The 26,305-nt window shown below is 45.9% G+C and overlaps 1 long non-coding RNA gene and 1 pseudogene across 1 annotated transcript in view; both read left to right on the top strand.

Moving 5' to 3' along the window:
- LINC01399 (long intergenic non-protein coding RNA 1399) overlaps nt 1-26,305 on the top strand; it is a 111,233-nt gene that overhangs the window by 13,812 nt on the left and 71,116 nt on the right. Inside the window, exon 2 of the long non-coding RNA NR_126356.1 lies at nt 22,226-22,388. This is a non-coding gene — a long non-coding RNA (long intergenic non-protein coding RNA 1399). The remainder of the gene's footprint in view (nt 1-22,225; nt 22,389-26,305) is intronic.
- On the top strand, nt 22,218-22,844 carry COX7BP1 (COX7B pseudogene 1; annotated as a pseudogene).

The raw sequence follows: 26,305 nt of genomic DNA, 5'->3' as shown, positions 1-26,305 counted from the left end.
CAGAGAGGCTGAGCAAATGGCAGCTCCCATGGTTGGGTGGTATGGAAACATCCTCTAGGATGTAGCTGTGATTTCAGACAAAGTAATGTGCCCCTACCCACTATCTCCTGAAGCCCTCAAGCTTAAGAGTGCATTGAGAAGTGGGAGGACCATTTTTATCTTTGACTTGTCAGCAGCACCCATTTGATTTTTTTTAAAAAATGTTTCTTCTTCTAAAGCTAGTGTTTGAGGTTTTCTAAAGGACTATGCAAGTGTTTTTTTTTTGTTTGTTTGTTTGTTTTTTGTTTTTTTTTTTGACGGAGTTTTCACTCTTGTTGCCCAGACTGGAGTGCAATGGCACAATCTCAGCTTGCCACAACCTCTGCCTCCTAGGTTCAAGCAATTCTCCTGCCTCAGCTGCTTCCTGAGTAGTTGGGATTACAGGCATGCACCACCATGCCCAACTAATTTTGTATTTTTTTTTAGTAGCGACAGGGTTTCCCCATGTTGGTCAGGCTGGTCTCAAACTCCTGACCTCAGGTGATCTGCCCACCTCGGCCTCCCAAAGAGCTGGGATTACAGGCATGAGCCACCATGCCTGGCCAGAACTATGCAAGTGTTTTAACCAGGGTACTCCTGGGCACTTCAGTTGGGACTTGCTGCCAAGGACCTATACACTGCTCTTGGAAACTGAGGCCTGAAAACCCACTTTCTACTGCTAGCAATTCTCTCTCTCTTTTCCTTTTTTCCAGAAAGGACAATTCACATTTTCTTTCTAGATGATATCTCGTGTGTGGCTTCATGCTATGGTTCAGTCCAGAGAATGGTTCAGATTCTCTCAGTAGGGTTGGGAGCCAGATGGACTTGTTAGGAAGGTCAGACCTGGTGAGGTTTAGCTGGGAAGGGACAAGAATGTACACTGAGCTATTGTAAATGGGCATGCTGAACTTTACACATCCACGTGAACTTACTGCTATCAACTGAGTGTTCATGTCCCACACCCCCACACGACCCCTGCCAACTGGAATTAGTGTTCTTATCAAAGAGATGCCAGAAAACTCTCTTGTCTCTTCTGCCATATGAAGATAACAGCGAGAAGACAGCCATCTAGGAACCAGGAAGTGGGTCCTCACCAAACACCAAATCTGCCCACAGTTTGATGTAGGACTTCCCAGCCTCCAGAACTGTGAGAAATACATTTCTGTTGTTTATAAACAACCTGGTCTATGGCTGTTTGTTATAGCAGCCTGAATAGACTAAGATACATCTCCAAAATGCCCCTTTGGAGAGGGGCATGTCTTAGGTCCTGGCTGGGCCTGTCTTGTTTTCCTAGAGCAGCTGATAAAGGCAGACATCTGGAAGCAGAGCCTCTGCTAAAGTGAAGTCTTCACTGGATGTAAGGACAGGTGCGGGTGCAGGGGCTAGGGCGATGTCTACTAGACCAGCAAGTCTCAAATGCACATCATGATCATTTGGGAAGTTTATAAAAATTCCAATGCCCCAGCTGAATCCCACACCAGCTACATCAGAGTCTCTAGGAATAAGGTCCAGACACCAGACATCGGACATCAGATACCAGACATCTCTAGGAGTGGGAACTAGACATTAAAACTCCGTAGGTGATTCCTATGTACAGCCACATTTGAGAACCTGTGATCATTGTAGACAGAGGTCAGCAAATATCTTCTTGGTGAGGGACCAGATAGGAGATATTTTCAGCTTAGGCAATGAAATCTCTGTTGTGATCACTTAACTCTGCTGTTGTTGTGAACACAGCCACAATGTGTAAATAAATGAGTGAGATTGTGTTTGTTTGTTTTTTTGAGACAAGGATCTTGCTCTGTTGCCCAGGCTGGAGTACAGTGGCTCATTGCAACCTTGACTTCTCAGGCTCAAGCAATCCTCCCACCTCAGCCCCCCAAGTAGCTGGGATCACAGGTAAGTGCCACCATGCCTGGCTAATTTTTTAATTTTCTGTAGAGACAGGGTTTCGTTATGTTGCTCAGGCTGATCTCAAACTTCTAGGCTCAAGGGATTCTCCCATCTCGGCCTCCCAGAGTGCTAGGATTACAGGCATGAGCCGCCATGTGCGACTGAGGTTGTGTTCTAATAAAACTTTATTTACAAAATAGGCGATAGGCTGGGTTTAGCCTGCGGGATCTAGTTTGTTGACCCCTGTCTGTTCTAGACCCTGCTACACAGTTTGGGTTACAAGTATCACCTGGGAGCTTGTTGGAAATGCAGAGTCTTGGACCCCATTCAGACCTATGGGACCAGCATGTTCATTTTAATGAGATACTCCAAATTGGTTTATATGCACATTGAAGTTTATAAAGCACTAATCCAGACCAGCAGTTCTCAAAGTGTGGTCCCTAAGTCAGTACCATCAGATTACCTGGGAACTTGTTAGAAATGCAACCCTCAGGTTCTACATCAGACCTGCTGAGTCAGGAACTCTGGATGACTCTGAGGTGCCTTAAATGTTGAGAACCATTGATCTAGACAAGTGGTTCTCAAACATTAACTCATCTGAGGAGATTTAATCCCCAGGCTTAGGCCTCACTTTGGACCAATTATCAGAATCTCTGTGATACAGACCTAGGCATCAGTATTAAAAAAAAATATCCAAGCAATTCCAAGGTGCAGGTGAGTTTGAGAACCAGTGTTATAGGAAGAATGGGTTTATCGAGAGTGTGGTCCCTCAGCCCCAGAAGCAGCTTTAGTGCAGCAGGCAAAGTCAGAAAGGCACATCCTGGGTAGCAGGCCTGTGACAGACACTGTTGGCTGAGGAGCCAACAGCTTCTCCTACCTTATTTTCCTTTTCAGAGAAACCGTGTGCTTTAGTAGATGCTGGTTCCTTTCTCAGCCTCAGGGAGGAGATCAAGATTGGCCAGGCTAGTGAATGGTTTAGGCAAGGATGTGTGGGCCAATCTTGGCCCATGGAACTGAGAGGAAGTCTGCTGTAGGGAACTCCCTTGTTTTTGCTGGATGCAATATGTGATGCCTGGAAGTGCTGCAGTCTTTTCATGCCCATGAGGCATGCTGAAACTCACAGAGCAGAAAGAAAGCAAGTACCTGAGTCCTTGAAGCTGGTGTCGAACTGCTGAGTTAACCAACCTTGGACTTCCTTGGGCAGCTTGTTACGTGAGATGATAAATTTCTTATCATCTGTATTAGTTTGTTCTCACACTGCTATGAAGAAATATTTGAGACTGGGTAATTTATAAAGAAAAGAGAGTTAATTGATTCACAGTTCTGCATGGCTGGGGAGGCCTCAGGAAACTTACAATCATGGTGGAAGGAGAAGCAAACACGTCCTTTTTCATGTGGCAGCAGGAAGGAGAAGAATGAGAGAAGTGTAGAGCGAAGTGGGGGAAAAAGCCCCTCCCCAAATCATCAGATCTTGTGAGAACTCACTCACTGTCATGAGAACAGCATGGGGGAACCACCCCCATGATTCAATCACCTCCCACGAGGCCCCTCCCCCAACATGTGGGAATTACAATTCAAGATGAGATTTGGGTGGGGACACAGAACCAGACCATATCATCATCTAAGCCACTTTTAGTTGGGTCTTCTGTTACCTGTAGCCCAGAGCATCCTAACCGATTTGGGGAATAATCACTGATTTGTGATGTCAGGATTATAGAGGTTTGTCTGAAGCTTTGCCACAGCCATCTATGGGTGGGTCAGTGAAGAAGAACTAAGATATATTGAACACCTACCTTGGGCCAACACCTTTTTCTTCTGTGATCTCATAGAGTCCTGCAGTGGAGGCTTATTGTTTCCATTTCATAAGTAGAACATAGAAAGTTTGCATTTTACTCCAGGCAAACTCAAACTCAAGTCTTTTTAATCTCAAAGTCTCTCCATGATCTACACACCACAGCAGCATCCTTTCTTTTCTGATGAGATTGTGGGATTTTAGACTGAGGCTCCTGGTCACAGACAGCCTGGGCTGGTAGGCAGCCCTCCCAACCCCTGCAAAAGCATTTAGTCACAGGGAACAATACAGGTATCTATTTATCATAAGTGGAATGCAGGTAGGAATTTATCTTGGAAAGTAGGCAATACTCTAGTTACACAAGTCAGCAGCGGGGAAGGTTCAGGCAAGGCGTGTGGGCAACTGGAGGTTGCATCCTAAAATAAGGCTGGAGGCTGCTGTCTCTTGGGCATTCCCTGGGCATCTCATAAGAGTGCAAATTCTGGTTCAAAAGATCGGGGATTCTGTATTTCTAACAAGCTCCCAGGTGATTCTGATGCTGCCAGTCTAGGGACCACCCTGAGTTTCAAGCACTTACGTCCTCCCTGCTGAGGCTCTGTTCTTACTCCATGTCTGTTTTGATGGGGGCTGAACTCACAGCAGGGGCAGAATTGTGGAAAGAGGAGAGCCCTATGGATTGGGACCCCAGCAAGAAACCAAGACCTGGTATTTTGGTGGAGCCCCTGGACTAATCTCATGCCACCATTGAAAATGGTTTGTGGAATTCCTGGTCAGGGAATCACCTCCAATCCAGTTCAGCCATCTCAGCTGGGGGAATTGAGAAGGAAATTCAGGGAAGGGTCCTCTGTGGATGGTTTCAGAAGTAGTATTTGCCTTGGGGGCAGTGTGAAATGTTGAAACATGTGTATGTGTTGGAGGCATTTGTTCATGTATGCAGGTGTGCACATGCACACTCAAGCAGGCATTCATGTGTGCAGTGGTCAAGTGGCAGGGTCCTTCTAGGTCTCTGGCTCTAGCCTTGGACAACCCATTCTTATTTTTCTGATTCTTCATTTCCTCATCTGTTAAATGGGGGTGAACCTAATGGTCACCTCTTGGGCTTCTTATAAGGATTACATGAAATCTAAGGCAAACTGCTTTTTAGACTATAAGAAGCTACCAGAAATGTGGCGGAAGATTATATATGTTTTCTCATTCACCATGCCCTCCAGACCCTTCTCCTCAGAGCCAGCAGTTGCTCACCAGGTGTTCCTAGAGGCAGCTTTGGCAGGAGACGCTCTGGGAACTTCTGACTCATGGCTGACCATGTGAAACTGCATAGCTTTGCTGCCTTCCAGCTGCTGAGGACATTTTATCTTTGTTAGGTGGATTCCTTGGCCCTTGTGCAGGGCTGCGATAATGAGTTGGGGGAAGGAAAGAAAGCTGCTGAGGCTGGCTGGACTGGTTTATGCTGGGAAGAGAAAGAAGCACAGAAAAATAAAGCTCTTAAGGAAGAGATTTTGGAGGGACACAAACATCCTCTTAAGGAAAAGATTGCACTTAAAATTAAGGCATTCATGGCACACTTGGAGCACTGCCTCCCCACAGTCAGTGTCTTCCCACCTCCTCTCTTCTTAGAGCATCCAGGCTTTGCTCAAGGGATGGGTGCCCAGGTGCTTCAGGTCCCTTCCTTTACTGGAGGAAGGGCAGGAAATGCTGATTGGTATAAACAGAACACAGAATTCCATTCTCTTGGCCAATGATGGGTCGAGGCACAGGCAGGTGAAACAAACTGCCCAGCGAGGCTGCTGTGGGCTACTGGGCAGGTTTTCTTCATCCCTCTAAAGGGGCAGAGGACAGAGACTTGTCCTTCCTGTCCTAGGGCATTGTCACATGAAGGCACGGTGCTTTGGGTTGGGGCAGCCATCTCGCAAGCATGATGGGAAAGCCGGGAGAACCACAGAGAAACCTCACAGCATGGAGCTGCTGGTTGATCCAACCTAGAAAGCCACTTTTAGTTTGGTTTCCATTAGTTTGCCATTCATCATTCATTGAGTAGTTCATTTATGTGGCAAATACTTGTCAAAGTCCCACTATGTATCAGGACCATCCAAGGGTTTGGGATAAGGCAGTGATGTCTCTCCCTCCTGGAGTCTACTTTCATGACATGGGAGGCAGAAAGGGACAAATCAATAAGACATAGAGAATTTCAGATGGTGATGGGTGCTGTGGAGAAAAATAATGTCAAGAAGGGGATCCTGGGGGTGGCCTCTCCCCTCCGTAAAACTGAATGAAGATGAGTCCAGAGGATGAAGCTACCCTGGGGGTCCTGGGCTGCTCACTGGGGCTGACACAAACAGGGATTGAGGGCATGATGGGAACAGTCCCCCCAAGACTGTTCCCAGGGGTCTCCAGACAGTTGGTAGTCTGAGGTGGTGTTGGGCCAAGGGAGAAAAGAGTAGGGGTCTTGCCAGGAGCCTGCACTGTTGCAGGGCCCCCTCTTTGCTTCATGGCAATGTGTAGCCTGGAGGGGCAACAGAGCATGGCAGATCTCCGAGGCTTCCTCTTGACTCTCGATGGCATCTGAGTGATACTACATCCTCATAAGGAATGCCCCTGTCCCTTCCACCTTGGAACTGGGTATGACCCCAAAGGGTTAGGCTTCCAGAAGTCCTCAAGTCAGTGTTTTGGGGTTTTGTCATCTGGGAAGCTATGGCCATCATCCCATTTTCCTTCTGCTTCTGTAGAAATTGAGAATCACAGAGGGGACCTGTGGGGCTCAGAGTCTCCCTTCTTATACCCCATTACCAGTTGTCTTGAGCCCTGGAAGAGCTGGTTGCCGCAGAGGTTGAATCATGGTGTTAGTCAACCTCTGGTCATGATGCAGCTCTTCAAAGACCATCCTGCCACCCCTGGGAGTCCCCACAGGAGCAAAGCCCACTCAGTATGCCCCCCCAGGCTCTTCTTGACAAATTCCAGAGTTAGCAGGAAAGGACAAGCAGGGTCAGCATTGATTGGCTTTCTGGAACCTGCCATGCTGGCAAGGGTTTATATAGGGTAGCTCCAAAGATGAGCCTCCCAGAGGCGCTTGCCCTGGTAGACTCCTGCATGGCATGGTATTGTGGAAGAGCATGGCTCTGAGTGAGTGCTCCATTCAAATTTGGCCTCTAGCTGAGTGCCTCTAGCACTTAGTAGCAGTTACTTCAGATCAATCACATAATGTCTCTGAGTCTTGCTTTTCTGTAAAAGATGAGGATGATACATACCCCTGCTATGGCCTGAATGTGTTTCTTACAAAATTCAGAGGTTGAAACCTAAACCCCAATGTGGTGATATGAAGAGCTGAGGCCTTTCAGAGGTGACTAGGTCATGAGGGTGGAGCTCTCGTGAATGGGATTAGTGCCTTTATAAAAGAGGCTCAAGTGATCTTGTTTGTCCCTTTTTACCCTTCTGTTATGTGCTGACACAAAAGGCACCATCTATGAGGAACAGGTCCTCACTGGACACTGAATCTGCTGGTGCCTTAATCCTGAACTTCTTGGCATCCAGAACTATGAGCAATAACTTTCTGTTGTTTATAAACTACCCAGCCTATGGTAGTTTATTATAGCAGCAGGAACAGACTAAGACCAAAATTGGTATTGAGAAGTGGAGCGTTGCTTTAACAAATACCTAAAAATGTGCAAGTGGCTTTGCTACTGGGTAATGGGAAGAGGATAGAAGAAGGTGGAGGTGCAAGCTAGAAAAAGCCTAGATTACTGTGAATGCAACATTAAGGGCGATTCTTGGGAGGGCTCAGAAAAGGAGAGCTGTGGGGAAAGCCTTCTTTTTAGAGATTACTGAAGAGGTTGTGAACAGAGTGCTGGTAAAACATGAATGGTAAAGGGCATTATGATGAGGTCTCAGATGGAAATGAGGAATATACTATCGGAAATGGAGGAAAGGCCATCCTTGTTATACACTGGCAAAGAATGAGACTGAATTGTGCATGTGTCCTAGTGCTTTGTGGCAGGTAGAATATCTGAGTGAGTGATATGGTTTGGCTCTGTGTCTCCACCCAAATCGCATCTTGAATTGTAATCTGCACATGTCGAGGGAAGGACCCGGCGGGAGGTGATTGGATCATGGGAGTGGTTTTCCCCATGCTGTTCTCATGATAGTGAGGGAGTTCTCATGACATCTGGTTGTTTGATAAGTGTCTGGTGCTTTTCCCTGCACACACTCTCTCTCTCTCGCCTGCTGTCATGTAAGATGCACCTTGCTTTTCCTTTGCCTTCCGCCATGATTGTAAGTTTCGTGAGGCCTCCCTAGCCATGCTGAACTGGGAGTCAATTAAACCTCTTTCCTTTATAAATTACCCAGTCTCAGGTATTTCTTTCTTTCTTTCTTTCTTTTTTTTTTTTTTTTTGAGATGGAGTCTTGCTCTGCCTCTAGGCTGGAGTGCAGTGGTGCGATCTTGGCTCACTGCAACCTCTGCCTCCCGGGTTCAAGCGATTTTCCTGCTTCAGCCTCCCAAGTAGCTGGGACTACAGGCACACACCATCATGCCCAGCTAATTTTTGTATTTTCAATAGAGATGAGATTTCACCATGTTGGCCAGGAGGGTTTCCATCTCTTGACCTCGTGATCTGCCCGCCTCAGCCCCCAAAGTGCTGGGATTACAGGCATGAGCCACTGCTCCCGGCCTGGGTATTTTTTTTTATAGCAGTGTGAAAATGGACTAATACAGTGATGAAATAGGATATTTGGTAGAATTAATCTTTAAGCAAAGTGTCGAGGATGTGGCATGGCTTCTCTTGACTGCCAACAGTAAAATGTAAGAAGAGAGACACATATTAAATTTGGAATTTATAATCAAAAGGGAAGCTGAACTTAAAGATTTGGAAAATTCTTATCCTTACCATATTGTAAAGAATGAAAAGCCATGTTCAGGAGAGAACATGGAGTGTGTGGCGAAGGCTGTCATTTGATAGGAGATTAGTATGGCTCAGAAGAAGCCAGGTGCTGTTCATCAAGACTGTGGAAAAAATGACCCTGAAGACATTTTGGAGATCTCTGGGGCTGCACTACCTATCTCAGGCCCAGAATGCTAGGGCCCTAGGGGCAGAATGATTTCAGGACTCTGCTCCCTGCCTTCTGGTGCAGTACTCCTTGGAAGCCTTAGGTGTGCCTTGGTCCCTCTCTACAAAGGGCTCAGGTGGTAAACCTTGTAAGTGTCCACATAGTGCCGTCTCTGCTGCCACACAGAGTGCACAAGCTGTGGCAGCATGGCTACCTCCTCCTAGATTTCAAGGGATGCCCTAGAAAGGCTCAGGGTCAAAGCAGAGACCGCTGCAGAACAATGCCTGTGAGAATCGCCACTAGGGCAAAGCCCAGCAGAACCTTGGGGGTGGGGCTGACCCTGAGACTCCAGACCAGTAGAGCCACCGGCCAGTGATTCCAGTCTGGGAGAGCCATAGGCTTGCAACTCCAATCTGTAAGAGCTCCTGCATGAGCTGTACCCAGCAAAGTCATGGGGGGTAGGACCACTTGGAACCTTGGGAGCTCAACCCCTGCCCCAATATGTTCCAAAGATACGGAGTCAAAGATCCTCCTGCAGCCCTAAGACTTAATGTTGTTTGTCCTGTTGGGGTTTGGACTTACATGGGACAAATTATCCCTTTTTGCCTTCCTATTTCTCCTATTTGGAATGGGAATGTCTGTCCTTTGCTTGTCCCACCGTTGGGTTTTGGAAGCACACAACTTGTTTGATTTAGTGGGCTCATAGCTGGAAAGATATTTGCCTCAGGATGAATTATACCTTGAGTCTCACACAGATCTGATTTAGATAATTAGATGACACTTTGGACTTCAAAGTTGATGCTGGAAAGAAGTAAGACTTTTGGGGCTATTGAGATGAAATATATTTAGAGCGTGAGAAGGACATAATTTTGGGGACCAGGGGTGGAATACAATGGCCTGATGTTTGCGTCTCCCCAAAATTCATATATTGAAACCTGAACCCCAGTATGGTGGTATTAAGAGGTGGGGCCTTTCGGATGTGAATGAATCATGAGGGTAGGGTCCTTGTGAATGGGATTAGTGTCCTTAAAAAAGAGGCTCAAGAAAGCTTGTTTGCCCCTCTTTGCCGTTCTGTCATTTGAGGATGTAGGAGTTGCCATCTAAGAATGGGCCCTCACCAGACATGGAATATGCTGGTCCCTTGATCTTGGACTTCCCAGCCTGCAGAACTATGAGCAATACATTTCTGTTGTTTATAAATTACCCAGTTTAAGGTATTTTATTAGAGTACCCTGAAAGGACTAAGACAACCTTCAAGGGTTGTGATGGGAATAAGGGTAAGCAGGATAATGGTAGAGTTTCTGGAATGGGTAGAGGATAAAATGTTCTGTTAAGAACCTGGGCTGTTGGTAAGAACCTGAGCTGAACCACAGCTCCTCCACTTCCTAGCTGTGTGAAGTCAGGCGAGGGCATGATGTGGAGCATCAGTTTACCCATCTATGGAATGGGTGTATTGATAACAACTACATTGTGGGATTGTTAGAATCTGAGAAGATTATGCTTGTGAAGCTCTTGCATAGTGTCTGGTGCATAGTGAAGTTTCATTCAAAGTTTGCATCATTGTTATTACTATTATTTCAGGTTACATAACTTTCAATTGGAAGACTCTATCCTGGACATGTCCAAAATCTTAGGACAAGGAAAGAGAACCGAGAAATCTTGATCCCCCAGTCTCTCTTATGGTCTTAACTCCCTTCCTCTCAAACTAGGCTCTAGAGTCTCCAGCCTACCACTTGGTACCAATGAACTGGGCTGCCAATTCCAGAGCAAGGAGCAGGGGAGGAGCTATTTTAGACAGGGTGGTCAGAGGCAGCTTCTCCAAGGAGGTCACCCTTGAGTGGAGGCCCCCATGAGGTCAGCACGGGGTATTTCTGTAGAAGTCATAAACTGACTCAGTGTCAGAGAGATAGTTTATCTGGTTCAATGCTTCCCATTTAACAGGTGAGGAAACTGAGACTCAGACTAGGATCGTGGACCTAGATGGTAGAAGAGCCCAACTGTCTGCCTCCTGGGTCAGTGCTCTTTTCACTCCCCTGCACTGTTAGCTGGCTAATGTGGCAGCCTCTCCCCACTTTTCTCATTTGATAACTAATTTAGAGTGCAGCTAGGTATGTTAATGTGACCCCATTTTGGCCAGTGGGATGTGAGTGGAAGTCTGCTGGGAGGTGAGGGTAGGGCTTCTGAGAAAGCTTTTGATTTACTGGCAAAAGGGATGGGTGGATTTGTCTTTACTCTTCCCTCCCTTTCATCCTACTTGGGTGTGGTGTCTGGAGCTATAGCAGCCATCTAATAATCATGAGGGAAAGGCCAAGAGGATTGGCGGGACGCTGCCCTGACATCACTGAGCTACTGAATCGACCTGTGAGCTCCTTGTTTATATTAGTCAGACGTGCTGTTACTGGCAGCAGAAAGCATTCCTAACTGATAGAGCCTCTCTGCCTTTCCCTTTGTGAGCTCCATCTTACAGGAGAAACTTCAGACAGGAGAGGGAGCGTGCCCTTTTGTTTTCTTATTCTTTTTAGAGTCAAGCTCTTGCTCTGTTGCCCAGGCTGGAGTGCAGTGGCAAGATCATAGCTCACTGCAGCCTCACACTCATGAGCTCAAGCCATCCTCCTGTGTAGCTGGGACTACAGGCATGCACCACGATGCCCAGCTAATTTCTCTTTTTTTTAAAAAAAATTGAGATCGGGTCTTGCTTTGTTGCCTAGGCTGGTCTCAAACTCCTGGACTGAAGGAATCTTCCCACCTCGGACTCCTAAAGTGCTGGAATTACAGGCATAAGCCACTGTGCCTGGCCTGATCTAGCCATTTTTAGAAGCAGCTTTCAGTTCTCACTCACCTCAGGGGCCTCATTCCAGCCTGTGACTTACGGCTGAAAGCTCGTTACCAGTTAATAACACAGCCTGCTGCAAGATAATGCTTGCAGGCCCTCCTTGCTGAACAGTGGGCTATGAATACACAGCAATATTATCAACCCTCCCCTGGCCCCCTGAGCCTCCAGGAGCCAATAAGAATGAACCGTTTCACTCGTCCAAGAGACGGCGAGAGAAATGTAATTTTGATTTAATTCTTGGCTCCTCTGAAATGTGCCTGTACACTGCTCAGACGTCGGGGGAGGAGAGAGTGCGGCGAGAACACTTCTCATGAATGGAAAGGAGAGAAATGGCAGTTTGAAGGAGTATCAGGCTCCATTTAAAGGCCCATTTACCATGTGACACTTTATAAATTATTTCAAATATAATCTTGAATATAATCAACAGTTCCTTTCTGCCTCCTCCCTGCACACCCACCTCTTCCCACATCTCTTTTCAAAGGAAAAGATCTTAGGTAAGGCTGCCTTTCCATCGATTCCTCTGAAGTTGCAGGAAGCTGAAATTACGGTGTAAATTACCTCTTAGCTTGAATGAGGGTAAATTTATGCTGACCAGTGAGGGAACAAAGCAGGTTTGAATTCTGTGGCCAGAGTGGCTCTATCTTCCTCCCCTCAATTCAATGAATGATGCATTAATTTATTAAGCACTTATGTGCAGGGCACTCACACTATTTCATGTATCTGGTCTACTCTGAGAGCAGTGACTCTGCCTTTTTTTTTACCTGCATGATGCAAAGGCTATTTAGCGATTAAGTGACAGATGGTGTACCAGGTGTCCTGTATCCCAGCCCTGGCTCTGCCATTTAGCTGTGTGACTCAGGGCAAGTTACTTTGCCTCTCTGTGCCTTAGTTTCCTCATCTGTAAGCCAGGAATTGTAATAATACTTACCTCCTAAGGTTGTTAGGAAGCTTAAGTGAAATAATACGTGTGGCCGGGTGCAGTAGCTCACGCCTGTAATCCTAGCACTTTGGGAGGCTGAGGTGGGCGGATCATGAGTTCAGGAGATCAAGACCATCCTGGCTAACACAGTGAAGCCCCGTCTCTACTAAAAATACAAAAAAATTAGCCGGGCGTGGTAGTGGGCACCTGTAGTCCCAGCTACTCGGGAGGCTGAGGCAGGAGAACGGCGTGAACCCGGGAGGCAGAGCTTGCAGTGAACCGAGATCGCGCCACTGCACTCCAGCCTGGGCGACAGAGCGAGACTCCGTCTCAAAAAAAAAAAAAAAAAAAAAAAAAAGAAATAATACGTGTAAAGGTCTTAGCTATAGCCCTGAATGTGTTAACTGTGTCACTCACCATGCCTGGCACAGAGATGGAGTGTGGTTAACGCCCAGGAAGAATGACTACAGTAGAAGCCATAGAAAGAGCAGCTCACACTTATTGAACCTTCAGTTTTACCAAGGCACTTTGTTATGCTTGTTCCACTCATGATTTCAACTAATTCCCATGCTGACACTTCATTCCTTCATTCACTCCTGCTCATTCATTCACCATGGTTATCAGAAGCCCTGGCTATGCCAGGCATTGTGCAGACAGTGGAAAATCAAACAACAAGGTCCCTGCTACGAGCCAGTGACTTCAGTTACGTTATTGTGGGGAGAAAGATAATAGGTTAACAGAGAGGTAATCTAGAGTGACATGTTGCAAAATGACAGGAAAGGTGCTCTGAAGAGAAGCCGGTGGCCTGGGAAGAAGAGCATCACTGGAGGAGCTGTTTTAGACAGGGTGGTCAGAGGCAGCTTCCCCAAGGAGGTCACTTTTGAGTGGAGGCCCCCATGATGGGAAGAAGTGGCCCATGCTCCCATCTGGACTGGGAGGGTTTAGGCAGATGTTCCTGCTTTCATGGCACTTCTGCTTTTGTAGGAGTCAGATGTGCAGCCTGGATTTAGAATGAAGGATGACATAACTATTCAGAGGAAAAGTGCAGGGTGCTCTGAGGACACACAGCAGGGGGCCTAGACTGGGTGGGGGCCAGATTGTCTTTCCTCTGCAAATGACAGAAACCTCACTCAACTGGGTTAACCAAAAGGGGGTGTTACCGGCTCAGGTAAGTGACAAGCTGGGGTTGGGGTTGGCTTCAGGCATGGGTGCATCCTGTTGTTCAAATTGGCTTTAGCACGATGCCTCTGCTCAGTTTGCCCCTGTGTGAGCTTTGTTCTCAGCAGACTGTCAAGGTGGCATCATCAACCCCACACTGATGACCTGGTCAGGAGGATGGTCGGCATGCTCTGATTGGCCAGGTGGAGTCCCGTGCCCACTCCCAGAGAATGAAGAGCAGGTTTCCCAAAGGAAACTCAGGCTGGCATTACAGCAGAAGGACTGCTGGGCAGTTGGAACCAGCAGTTTCAGAGGACCGAGGACAGGGCCCCTGGTGGAAGGGATATTTAAGCAAATACTGTAGGATGACAGCTGAAGAGGCTGGAGAGAGGCGACATGATAGGAAAGAGAATCACAGAGTGTCAGAGTTGAGAGGGGCCTTAGAGTTAGGGGTCCGTATCATTTATTTCCCATTCTGGGACCTTCTAGGAAGGAAATAGCAGTAATGACAACTACATGGGGACAACAAGCATAACAGGGACTGTTGGGTGAACTGCAATGTAGGATCACTGTAGTTAAAGTCATCCTTTTGGAACCTCCTCTGACACTCAGCTCTCTCTCAGATCCCTGTTAGGTGCTGCTCGGGCCTTGGCTGGCATGCCTCCAAGGCCGAGACTCTCATTGCTTTCTGCATAAGCCCATTGTCTTGGAGTTCAGCTCTGCCTGTTTCTCTATCTGTTGCATCCAATTTGCTATTCTGAAGCTTCCACCCATTGGTCAAGGCTCCAGATTCAACACTTTGGAGTGCCACAAACTTTATTCTTCTTCTATGAACAGTGAGTTAATTGAAGATGAAGACAATGATTGAAACTCCTGGAAATGTGTGTTCTGCAGTCTAAATCCAACCACTTCATCCTGATGAAATTTCTTCATCAAGAAACTGTGGTTGGTGATGATCACTGCCCCTGCTGAGTCAGTGGACCAGCCAGAGATCAGAGATGATGTTTGTGGTGGAGCTCTCTCCCTCTTTGCTTGCTCCCTCTCCAAATCCTACTCTGCCTTTGCAGTCTGGGTTACAGCTTACTTTCCCCAGGAAGTATTCTCTGACTTGATTCATGCAAGCTGAGACCTCATCTCATACCACTCCCTCTTTGTCCCTTGCTTCAGTCACACTGCCCTTGTCTCTGACCTTGGACACCAAACTCATTCTAACCTCAAGGTTTTTGCATTGACTACTGTATTAGTCTGTTCTCACGCTGCTGATAAAACATACCAGAGACTGGGTAATTTATAAAGGAAAGAGGTTTATTTGTCTCAAAATTCCACATGGCTAGGGAGGCCTCACATTCATGGCAGAATAGGAAGGGATGTTTTATATGGTGGCAGACAAGAGAGAGCTTGTGCAGGGGAACTCCCCTTTAAAAAACCATCAGATCTTGTGAGATTTATTCACTATCGCGAGAACAGCATGGGAAAGACCCGCCCCCATGATTCAATGACCTCCCACCAGATTCCTCCCACGAAGTATGGGAATTGTGAGAGCTACAATTCAAGAGGAGATTTGGGTGGGGACACAGCCAAACCATATCAATTACCCTCCTGAAATGCTCTTCCCTTAGAACTCTGCTTGGTCCCATTCTTTTCGGCACACAGGGAACGTGCCTAGGAGGCCTTCCCTGCTCACCTCTCTCAGGCCTCCTTCACTCACCCATCCCCTACTCTTCATTACATATTCTGTTTTATTTTCTTCATAGCACTTAATGATTTTCTGAGAGTACCTTATCATTTATTTACCTGCTTACAGTTGTCTTCCCTGCCCCCCCGTGGGGGTAGGGACCTTATTTTCTTAGATCAACTCTGTTTCTCTGGTGTCTAGCTTAGGGCCTACCACCTAGTAGTTGCATAATAAGTATTGGCCAAATGAATGATTGATGAGTTCCCATCCCTGCACAACTCTCAATTTTATGAAATTTCCTGTATTTTTCTGATTTCCTCCTTCTATACCTTCTCCAACCCCTTCAGCATGAGTGGTCTGTTTAACCTTGAGCAATATACATGAGCATCATATTAGGATTCAGATGATATGGGATCAAGTTCTGTCTTGGCCTTTTACTAACTGCAGGAACCTTGGGGAAGTCACTGACCCTGTGCGTCAGTTTTCTCTTCTGTAAAATGGGGACAACAAAAGTGTCTAAAGCTTAGCCGGGTGTGGTGGTGCACGCCTGTAGTCCCAGCTACTCAAGAGGCTGAGGCAGGAGGATTGCTTGAGCCCAGGAAGTTGAGGCTGCAGTGAGTTATGACTGTGCCACTGCATTCCAGCCTGGGCAAGAGCAAGACCCCATCTCTAAATAAATAAATAAGTAAATGAAAGTGCCTAAGGCGCAGAGAGAGTGTGAGGCTCACATGAGATCATGGGCATGAAAGCATCCTGCAAAGTGAAAATGCTATGCAGATATTAGGAAATGAGGTTGCTTATAGGTAAGCTTGCATTGTTAATTATTAGGTTGTACCATATGGAATTACCAATATTCAGCCATTTTGACTTAACTGTGTTAGTCGGTTTTCATGCTGATGATAAAGACATACCCGAGATGGAGCAATTTACAAAGAAAGAGGTTTAATTGGACTTACAGTTCCACGTGACTGGGGAAGCCTCACAATCATGGTGGAGGGCAAGGAGGAGCAAGTCCCATCTTACATGGATGGCAGCAGCAGGCAAAGAGAACATGAAGAAGACGCAAAAGTGGAGACCCCTGATAAAACCATCAGATCTCCTGAGACTTACTCACTACCAAGAGAAGAGTATGGGGGAAACTGCCCCATGATTCAATTATCTCCCACTGGGTCCCTCCCACAACACATGGGAATTATGGGAGTACAATTCAAGATGAGATTTGGGTGGGGACACAGCCAAACCATATCACTTACTAAAATGGCAATTTCATATGATTTAATCTAATGTTTTTCCACTGAAAAGTAGGTTTTGTGTCCCCTGCCCCACCCCATAACTAGAGTACTCTGGTAAGTTCTTTGAGGGCAGTCATTATATTCTTCACCAAGCTTAGCAGACTGCTCTGCATACAGTAGGTGCCTGCATGTGTATATTTGGATAATTCATCTTCCTATAGAGTGATCAGAGGTTAAATCAACAGGAGGTGCTTATCTGTGTTTAGAGGGCTCAAGGAACTCTTTCTAAAGGAGGCTCCATCAGAGCTGAGTCTTGAAGGTTGAGTAGTTGTTCAGCAGGTGGACAAGAGGACAAGGGCATCCCAGTTAGAAGGAGCAACATGTGCAAGCGTGTGGAGATGCAGAAATATGGCGCATTCTGGGAACTCCAATTCACTGTCTCTGCGTGGCATAACACCTTTCTAGATCAAACCAAACTGTCCCTGTCTCTCCCTCCCCAGCATCTCAGGTCACTCACTATCTCTACTGTTCACGTAGCCCTTTGCACACCTGTTGTGGTGATTGCTATTTTTTTTTTTTTTTCTGAGACGGAGTCTCACTCTGTCACCCAGGCTGGAGTGCAGTTTTGCGATTTCAGCTCACTGCAACCTCTGTCTCCCAGGTTCCAGCAATTCTCCAGCCTCAGCCTCTCGAGTAGCTGGGACCACAGGCATGTGCAATCGTGCCCAGCTAATTTTTATATTTTTTTTCTGTAGAGATGGGGTTTTGCCATGTTGCCCAGGCTGGTCTCAAATTCCTGAGCTCAAGGCCATCCACCTGCCTTGGCCTCCCAAAGTGCTGAGATTACAGGTGTGAACCACTGCACCCTGCCCGGTGGTTCTATTTTTGATCTTCACCTGCAGTCTCTCCCCTTGTGGGTAAGCAGCAAAGACAAGGGGCCTGCAGCATCCGCTTGTGTGATCATCCAGAGAGCAATCTCCGTGCCGATGGTCATTAGACAAACAGTGGCTGATTGGATTGGAGGCTTGGTCTTGTCCCTGTGAGATTCCCCATCTCAAATTAGGCCAGTTTATGTTGGGGAGATCAAAGCCCTGTCCAGCCTGACCACAGCCAGGCAAAGCTTCTGGCTGTGGCAACAGGGAGAGAAAGGGACTTGTTTTACTGAGTGTCAATGATGGCCCAGGCAACATACTAAGCATTTCATTTATTCTTTCATTCTCGGAGCACTTAATATGTGCCAGACACTGTTCCAGATAGGGAAATACAACAGCAAACAACCCAAGTACTTGCCCACAGGATTATAGTCTAGGGAGGAATACAAGCAATGAACAATGAAACAAAAAGATATATAACATAACATCATGTGATATAATGTAATATAGGGTCACATAATGTCACATGTAATACCACTTATGTGATAGCGAGGGATTTATTTAATCATAACAACACTCTGTAATATGGTTTTTGTTTTTGCTTTTTTTATTTTTCATTTTAAGGAGGAGGAAACCAGGGCTGAGAGAAGTTGGTAATTTGCCTAAGACAGCAGAGCTGCTGGGAGGGAGTGTTTGAACTTGCTATCTGAATCCACCGTACAGCACTGCCTCCCAGGCTTTTAACTGGAAGATATGCATTTGTATCCCAGCTTTGCGCATGCCCACTGTGCACTTGGGCACATTGTTTCACTTCTGCAAGCCTTAGTTTTCTCACCTGAAAAATGGATTAATAGATGCGGGCTTCAGGAGGATTGCTGTGAGATGAGGGGTGAAGGAGGCTGTTTGCAAAGTTCTATGAAAGTTTTCAGTTTCCACATCTGCTTTTGTGGTATGCCTCACATGGCTGGGATACTTGAAAACTTTGCCCCAGTGCTATGTTTCAATGTCTTCGATTAATCCTTGCTCATGATTAATCAGTTTGTTCCTGTTGCTCTGAAGACAGAAACCAGCTCCAGAGGGGACTGGAGGGCAGGTGCTGGGTCTGGGTGTGTGTGAGAAGGGAACTGTTTTCTATAGATTCTCTCTCAACAACCTGCACACAGATTAGCCATTTCTCTAGCTATAAATAAAGGTGCCCCCCCCATCTCTGTGGTTGGGAGGAAATATCAATAACATGACTAATTATGGAAATTGCATAATGCATCATTAGTTAGTAATTATGACTTTGTCAAGTGCCTGTTAATTTTTATGTAAGAATCACTCAGTGTGTGACATGGAAATATTAGCTTGTCATCCGGCTTTCCTTTCTGGTGGGGAGAATGATTTGAAAGTTTAGGTTAATGAGGTGTCAGGGTGAAGAAGGGGGAGAGGGAGGAGAAGGAGGAGGAAGAGAGGTGGAGGAGCAGAAGGAGGGGGAGAATTACCGGGGAAGGAAGAAGAGGAGAAGGAAGGGGTATGAAGAAGGAGGAGGAGTGCGTAATGAGACAGGAGATACCACACATGGGGAGATGCAGGTGGAAGGACCCAGGAGCTGTCCTCACAAGGTGAATCAAGTCAAGCCTCCTGCTTCTATCCCAGACCCAGAGTTTGCATGGGGTGTTGACACATTTCCCTAATAAGAAGGCATTATCATTTTACAGCCTCCCTGGAGAGTCTTGGCATGTCTCATTTTGCTTGAATAAATTATTAATTTGGTCTAATTAGGCTCATCCAGCAGCTGGGAGGCAGGTCGAGCTAATTCAGGATTCCTTTGTGGGTCTGCCTGCATGCTTGGTTCTGTGGAGGTGGGGGTTGGACTGGAAAGCACAGCCCCTTCCCATTAGAGGGGGTTGAGGCAGGAGGGAGGGCGGTGGAGGTGGGAGGTAACATCCAACTCCATCCACTTGTGACTTCACAGGCACCTGCTGACTTGGTTGCAAGTGCTAAGAACCTATGTCTTTTTTTTCCCCTTTGAGACAGGGTCTTGTTCTGTCACTTAGGCTTGAGTATAGTGGCATGATCATAGCTCACTTCAGCCTTCACCTCCTAGGCTCAAGGGATCCTCTTGCCTCAGCCTCCCAAATAGCTGGGACTACAGGCATGTGCCACCATACCTGGCTAATTTTTTTTTTCTTTCACTTTTTGTAGAGGTGGAATCCAGGCTGGTCTTGACTCCTGGTTTCAAACTATCCTCTGCTTCAACCTCCCAAAGTGCTGGGATTACAGGTGTGAACCACTGCACCTGGCCAGAAACTATGTCTTTCTTTGGACACTTGGATCCTTAGTATCATCTGCAGAGTTGCCGAGGTCAGGAGAGGACATGCTTCAAGCATGTTTCTCAGCCCTGTGGTCAAGGTTCTTCACAATTAGGGTGGATTCACCAGGTTTATTTTCTTGGAGTTCCAGACTCCCAAAGATGGCTCCAGTTGCACAGATTTTGAAGCAAGACAGCTGTGCTTCAGAACATAGCTCCACCCCACGCAGCTTTTGAACTTAAGAAAGTTACATCAACCCTCTGTGGCCTTGGCCACAGCGGAATAATGACCACCTGTCCTTGCTCTGACACTGCAGAGATGAATCGAGATGATAAATACATGCATACTTCCTAGTACAGTATCTGCCTCATCATAGGTGTTCAATAAATGGTAGTTGTGAAGCTTATGAGAGAAGTGGGGCATAAATAGTTACAGATATTTTATGCACAAGGAAATTAAAATCCAAGGAGCTGTTATAACTTGCCTAGGACAGACTAGACGAAGTCCCTGTCCTTTTTTCTTCCTGCCCCACCAGGCCATCTCTCAAAGTTGACATTGGCATTTGGCTATTTATTTATTTTTTGACAGAAGTTTGTGGTTGCTGGAACATAGGCAATAAAAAAGCCAAATGTGCTTAAGAGCCCTGATTATTTTTTAACGGCGTTCAAATCCCTGTGACATTTCTCCCCATGTAATAAGGTTTCAAGATTTAACTTGTTTTCAAGAGAACGAATTCATCTTCACGGCTTTTCCTGTTTTCCAATGAACAAGAACCTGTTTCTAAGCAGCAGCATTAGAATCCATCAGACCCTCTTCTGAGCCCGCAGAGCCCAGGTACAAGCTCAGGCAGCTCACCCATGTCGGGTATCCACTGGTTCTTTGTGTATTTGTCTCCTAGGCTAGGCTCTGAGCACCTGGAAGGCGTTGCTCTTCCCCATGGGTAGGGGCTGCAGCTGGATGCTCTTCCAGGCCAGGGGTGCATCTTTATTTCAGAGTACCCAGCTCAGGGTACTGCACATGATAGCCTTTCTAGAACTATTACTACTTTTTTTTTTTTTTTTTTTTTTTGAGATGGAGTCTTGCTCTGTCGCCCAGTCTGGAGTGCAGTGGCGCGATCTCCGCTCACTGCAGGCTCCACCCCCTGGGTTCATGCCATTCTCCTGCCTCAGCCTCCTGAATAGCTGGCACTACAGGCGCCCACCACCTCGCCTGGCTAATTTTTTTTTTTTTTGTATTTTTAGTAGAGACGGGTTTCACCATGTTAGCCAGGATGGTCTCGATCTCCTGACCTCATGATCCACCCACCTCGGCCTCCCAAAGTGATGGGATTACAGGCATGAGCCACTGCGCCTGGTCCCTAGAACTTCTTGATGAAAAAAGAAAAGACACTCAGCCACAAAGCTGGAGTGACTGTAATTTAATCTTTCACTTGTGTTCAGAAGGCTCTTGTAGCACCTCAAGGCCAGCAATTTAAATCAATCAACACATAATAACATCACTCACTATGGCACTGCCTCTGCTCCCAAGTGCTAGCTCGTATTATTAGAGAATCAGAGACTGAGTCCTTTGTATTACAAATGGGGAGACCGAAGCCCAGAAGAAAGCAATGTATGCAAGGACATCTATATTTAACTTCCCTCTCCACAGCTCCTTTCATCAAATTATCAGATGTTCTTAATGCTTCTGTATGTGTGTGTGTGTGTATATATATATGTGTATATATATACACCACATATATACATACATATATGTATATATACACATATATACATGTACATATATACGTATATATACACACATATGTACGTATATACACATATATACATATATGTGTGTATGTGTATATACACATATGTGTATATATGTATATATACCTACATATGTGTATATATGTATATATATCTACATATATGTATATATATCCATATGTATGTGTATATATACACATATACGTATATGTGTGTATATATATACCCATATACGTATATATGTGTATATATACGTATACACGTATATATGTGTATACGTATACATGTGTATATATACGTATACATGTGTATATATGCGTATACATGTGTATATATACGTGTATATACGTATATATACGTGTATACATATCATATACACGTATATATACGTATAATCATATATGTATATATGTGTATAATCATATATATACGTATATATGTGTATAATCATATGTATACATATATATGTATATACACATATATACGTGTATATACACGTATATATGTGGTGTGTATATATACATATATGCATATATGTGTATATACATACACACTATATATATGTATTTTAATCTCCTGTCTGCATAACTTGGTGCCAAGGTTGCTGTAACCCCTGCTCCACAGGTCTTCCTGCCTCTCGTCTCTTCCATATCAGCTTGCTTAGCTTTGCAGGAGACAGAGTCTCCTGAAAAAGGGTTTCTTTGTCTCATTCCACTTCTTAAAGGAGCCTACCATGGGTTTTTTTTTCCAGCGCTCTTCAAGGGTACCCGAAGCGAATTTGCACCAAAGCAGCAGCTGCGTTGCTGCAGTTCTATCTTCACCTTCACGATGTTTCTCTTGGTCAAAAACACACTCAAGTCGTCTCCAAGTTCGAAGCATTCAGCAAACAATGGCAAGGCAGAGCCACCAGAAAGGTACACCTGATTTTCATGACAGATATGGTAATGCTGTATTAGCTAGTGGAGCCACTTTCTGTACTGCTGTATGGACAAGTGTAGCAACACAAATCGAAATGGAATGGAACCCATCCCCTGTTAGCTGAGCCACCCCAAAAGGACGGATAGATCAGTGATCATTCCAGCTGGTGTAATACCGAATTGTTTAAAAAACAGCTCATGATTGATGCCAAGTGAAAGCACTGTGTGCCCATTAAGAATTAGCCGGGCGTGGTGGCGGGCGCCTGTGGTCCCAGCTTCTCGGGAGGCTGAGGCAGGAGAATGGCGTGAACCCAGGAGGCAGAGCTTGCAGTGAGCCGAGATCGCACCCCTGCACTCCAGCCTGGGCGACAGAGCGAGACTCTGTCTCAAAAAAAAAAAAAAAAAAAAAAGATATGACATTATTGAAGAAATAAAGTATATTTGAAACCTTCAAAAAAAAAAAAAAAAAAAAAGAACCTATCGTGGCTTTTTAATGCCTACTCATTGCCTAAGGAAAGAAAATCTGCACAACTTTCTCAAGAAAAATTAGTGTGTGCCTCGGGGAGGAGTTTCCAAAATTCATCCGGGTGCTTAAAAACAAACCTGTTATGTAGCACTATATAATAAGTGTTTGTTGTTGCTGCTCTTATTATTATCATTTATTATGAATGTCACTGTTGTTATTGTTATTATTCCGCTCTAATGGAATGCCAGGATATATATCAATACAGCAGGACTTCCCGGGAACTGGAACTGGGATTCAGAAAATGTGTTATCTCTTTCAGGACATGTTTTTGACATGCCTCTATAATTGGATTTTCAGAGTGGCCCACAACTCCTAAGTAGTAAAGAATCACTACCTATTTCTTATCAATTTTGTCCCTGGATCAAGCCAGACATCAGAGAGGGTATGCATTTAGACTTTACTGACTCCTTGTAGAATTGTTTTCATATTGGCCATAATTGAAGGACATTATAAGAAACTGGGACAAAAAATAGGTCTTTGTATTTGTTGTAGGATATATTGAAAGTGTTGTCCATTACCATTCATGCTTTCCCCTTTATTGGGGAGTAATTTCTCTCAGGTTCCTGCACCAAGGAAAACTATTATTTCCTTCCTTCCTTCCTTCTTCCCTTCCCTCCCGCCCTCCTTCCTTCCTTCCTTCCTTCCTTCTTCCCTTCCCTCCGTCCCTCCCTCCCTCCTTCTTTCCTTCCTTCCTTCCTCCCTCCTTCCCTCCCTCCTTTCCTCCCTCCCTCCCTTCTTCCTTCCTTCTTCCTTCCTTCTTCCTTCCTTCTTCCTTCCTTCCTTCCCTCCCTCCCTCCCTCCCCTCCCTCCCTCCCTCCCTTCCTTCCCTCCTTCCTTCCTTCCTTCCCTCCTTCCCTCCTTCCTTTTTTATGAGACAGGTTCTCCTTATCTTGCCCAGGCTGGTCTCTAATTCCTGGCCTCAAGTGATCCTCCTGCCTCAGCCTCCCAAGGTGCTAGGATTACAGGCATGAGCCACCACACCCAGTCGAAACCTTTTATTCTGCTGATTAGTTTGTATTTAATGCTTTGAACAATGAGGGACATTATAATAATGCCGAGATTTTCCTCTTTGCTTTCGGTGCTGGGAATCTCTAAGTCAGCTCTCCAACCTACCTCCTACAAGGCTTTATGGATGCTTTTCATGTGCTTAAGTGAATTCATCTTGTATTTTCACCTTATTTCCTTTTGCTTTGATTTTCTTATTTAAAAATCTGTTTTACTATATTCATCTCTGTAAGCCACCTTGGTTCCTTTATTTGGTATGAAGTAGGATATAGCAAACAAATATCTGTTCCTCTGTTGGTCCCACCCCATCCCAACCTGGAGACTGCATCAGAACAGGAAATACCTAGAGGCTACCAGAAAGAACCCTTTTCCTGATCCAGGAATTCATTAAATTAAGGTATTCATTCTTTCAACAGCTACTCCTTCAGTCCCACTGATGGGACAGGCATTGTTCTGGGTTCAGTATGCTATTCCTAGAAAGCGGAGTCTGAGGCAAAAGCGCATGTGCTATGACTTTATTAGGGAGTGTTACCTAGGGTCACTGGCATGGCCGCTGCTTGTTATCAAGTGCAATGGATTGCTCAGTCTCATGAGGCTGTCACTGGAGAAGTAGGAAAGATGTGACTGAAAAAAGTCCACTTGGGAGAGAACAGAGGAAGCCCTCATGGCTGGTTCCCATCTCCTGTTGGTCAAAGGCTTGCACCAAGTGCAACTTGCCTGTACTTCTGGGCAGTGTGGGCACCAAGAGGGTCTCACAGAGTCTGCTGTCATACAGGTGTGGCTGTCAGAGGAGGACTGCTGGATTGTGCCACGTGGAGCCAGGCAGAAGCCATACACAGCTGGTTGCTACAGCAAGTGGAGCAGACCAAGTGTCCGGCTGCAGAAGAGGTGTCTAATAGAAGGAGACAGCAGTGAGCAAAGCAGAGTGTGCCTCTGACCTCACGAAGCAGACACCCTAGTTGGGGGTGTGTGCTGGGAGTTTCCAAGACCACTCCCAGGTTCAATGATTCATTAGGAGGACTCACAGGACTCAGTACGGCAGTGGTGCTCATCACTATGATTTGTTATGGTGAAAGGATGCCAAACTAGATCAGCAAAAGGAAAAGGCATATGGAGCGAAGTCCAGAGGAAACCAAGTGTAAGCATCCATGAGTCCTCTCCCAGTGGTCACACAGGACAGGCTTAATTCCTCCAGCAATGGATTGTGACAAAACATGTCAAATGTGGCCAGATGCTGTGGCTCACACCTGTAATCCCAGCACTTTGAGAGGCCGAGGTGGGTGGATCACCTGTCTTGGATCAGGAGTTCAAGACCAGCCTGGCCAACATGGTGAAACCCCGTCTCTACTAAAAATACAAAAATTAGCCGGGCATGATGGTGGGTGCCTGTAATCCCAGCTACTCGGGAGGCTGAGGCATGAGAATCACTTGAACCCAGGAGGTGGAGGTTGCAGTGAGCTGAGATCGCGCCATTGCACTACAGCCTGGGTGACAGAGTGAGACTGTCTCTAGAAACAAAACAAAAAATATATGTGAAATGTTCTGTACCAGGGAAGCTCATCAGAGATCAGTGCCCAGGGCATTGGGGGGCTGGTCACATAGGTACCCTCTTCTTAGCACGGAAACTCTAGCCTCTCAGTAGGAAAGCAAGTGTTCAGCATAAACCACATTGTACAAACAGTTTGGAACAGTGAGTCACTTTTAACAGGAAATGGGAACCCTCTGGAATTCCAAATTGTCTGATGCCAGCCAAGGGCCAACCTCGTAAACAGGCCTTTTGAAGGACAGCAGTTAGGAGTGCTAGGTTAACTTTTTTTTTTTTCTGTACAGGGAGATAGATAAAAACAGACAGACAAGGATACATATAATGTAGTAGATGGTCAGGGTATCTGACAGCCCATTTGTTGTTTTTGTGTAAATTAGAGACTTGGCCTCCCTGATGGCAAACATGGCTGGTTCACAGTTTGTGGGCACTTGGTGAGTGTAAAAGAAAACTTCGTCCTGTCACTCTTCCCCTACCCCAGACCCAATCCACACTCCCCTATTTAGCAGTCCTGTAGATGGTGGTAGGTGTTGTAAAGAAACATACAGCAGGAGAAAGGAATGGAAAAGGTCAGGATGCAGATGGCATGGATGGGGTTGCTATTTTATTCAGGGCTGTCAGGGAAGGCCTTGCTGATGAGGAGACACTGGACAAAGGCTTGAAGGAATGGAGTGAGCCATGAGGCCGTCTGGAAGGACATCCCAAGGAGAGGAAATAGCACATGAAAAGAACCCGAGGCGCATGAGTTTTTGGCAGGGTCAATGAACTGAAAGTAGTGCAATGAGTTGGAGGGAATGAGAACAGGAAAGGGTGGTAGAAGATGGGATCAGAGAAGTTGTA

The sequence above is a fragment of the Homo sapiens genome, chromosome 22 (assembly GCF_000001405.40).
Source record: "Homo sapiens chromosome 22, GRCh38.p14 Primary Assembly".
In the NCBI taxonomy this organism is placed as follows: domain Eukaryota; kingdom Metazoa; phylum Chordata; class Mammalia; order Primates; family Hominidae; genus Homo; species Homo sapiens.
Note: the sequence above shows the minus strand (reverse complement) of the source record. Positions and strands in the feature narration are given on the sequence as shown.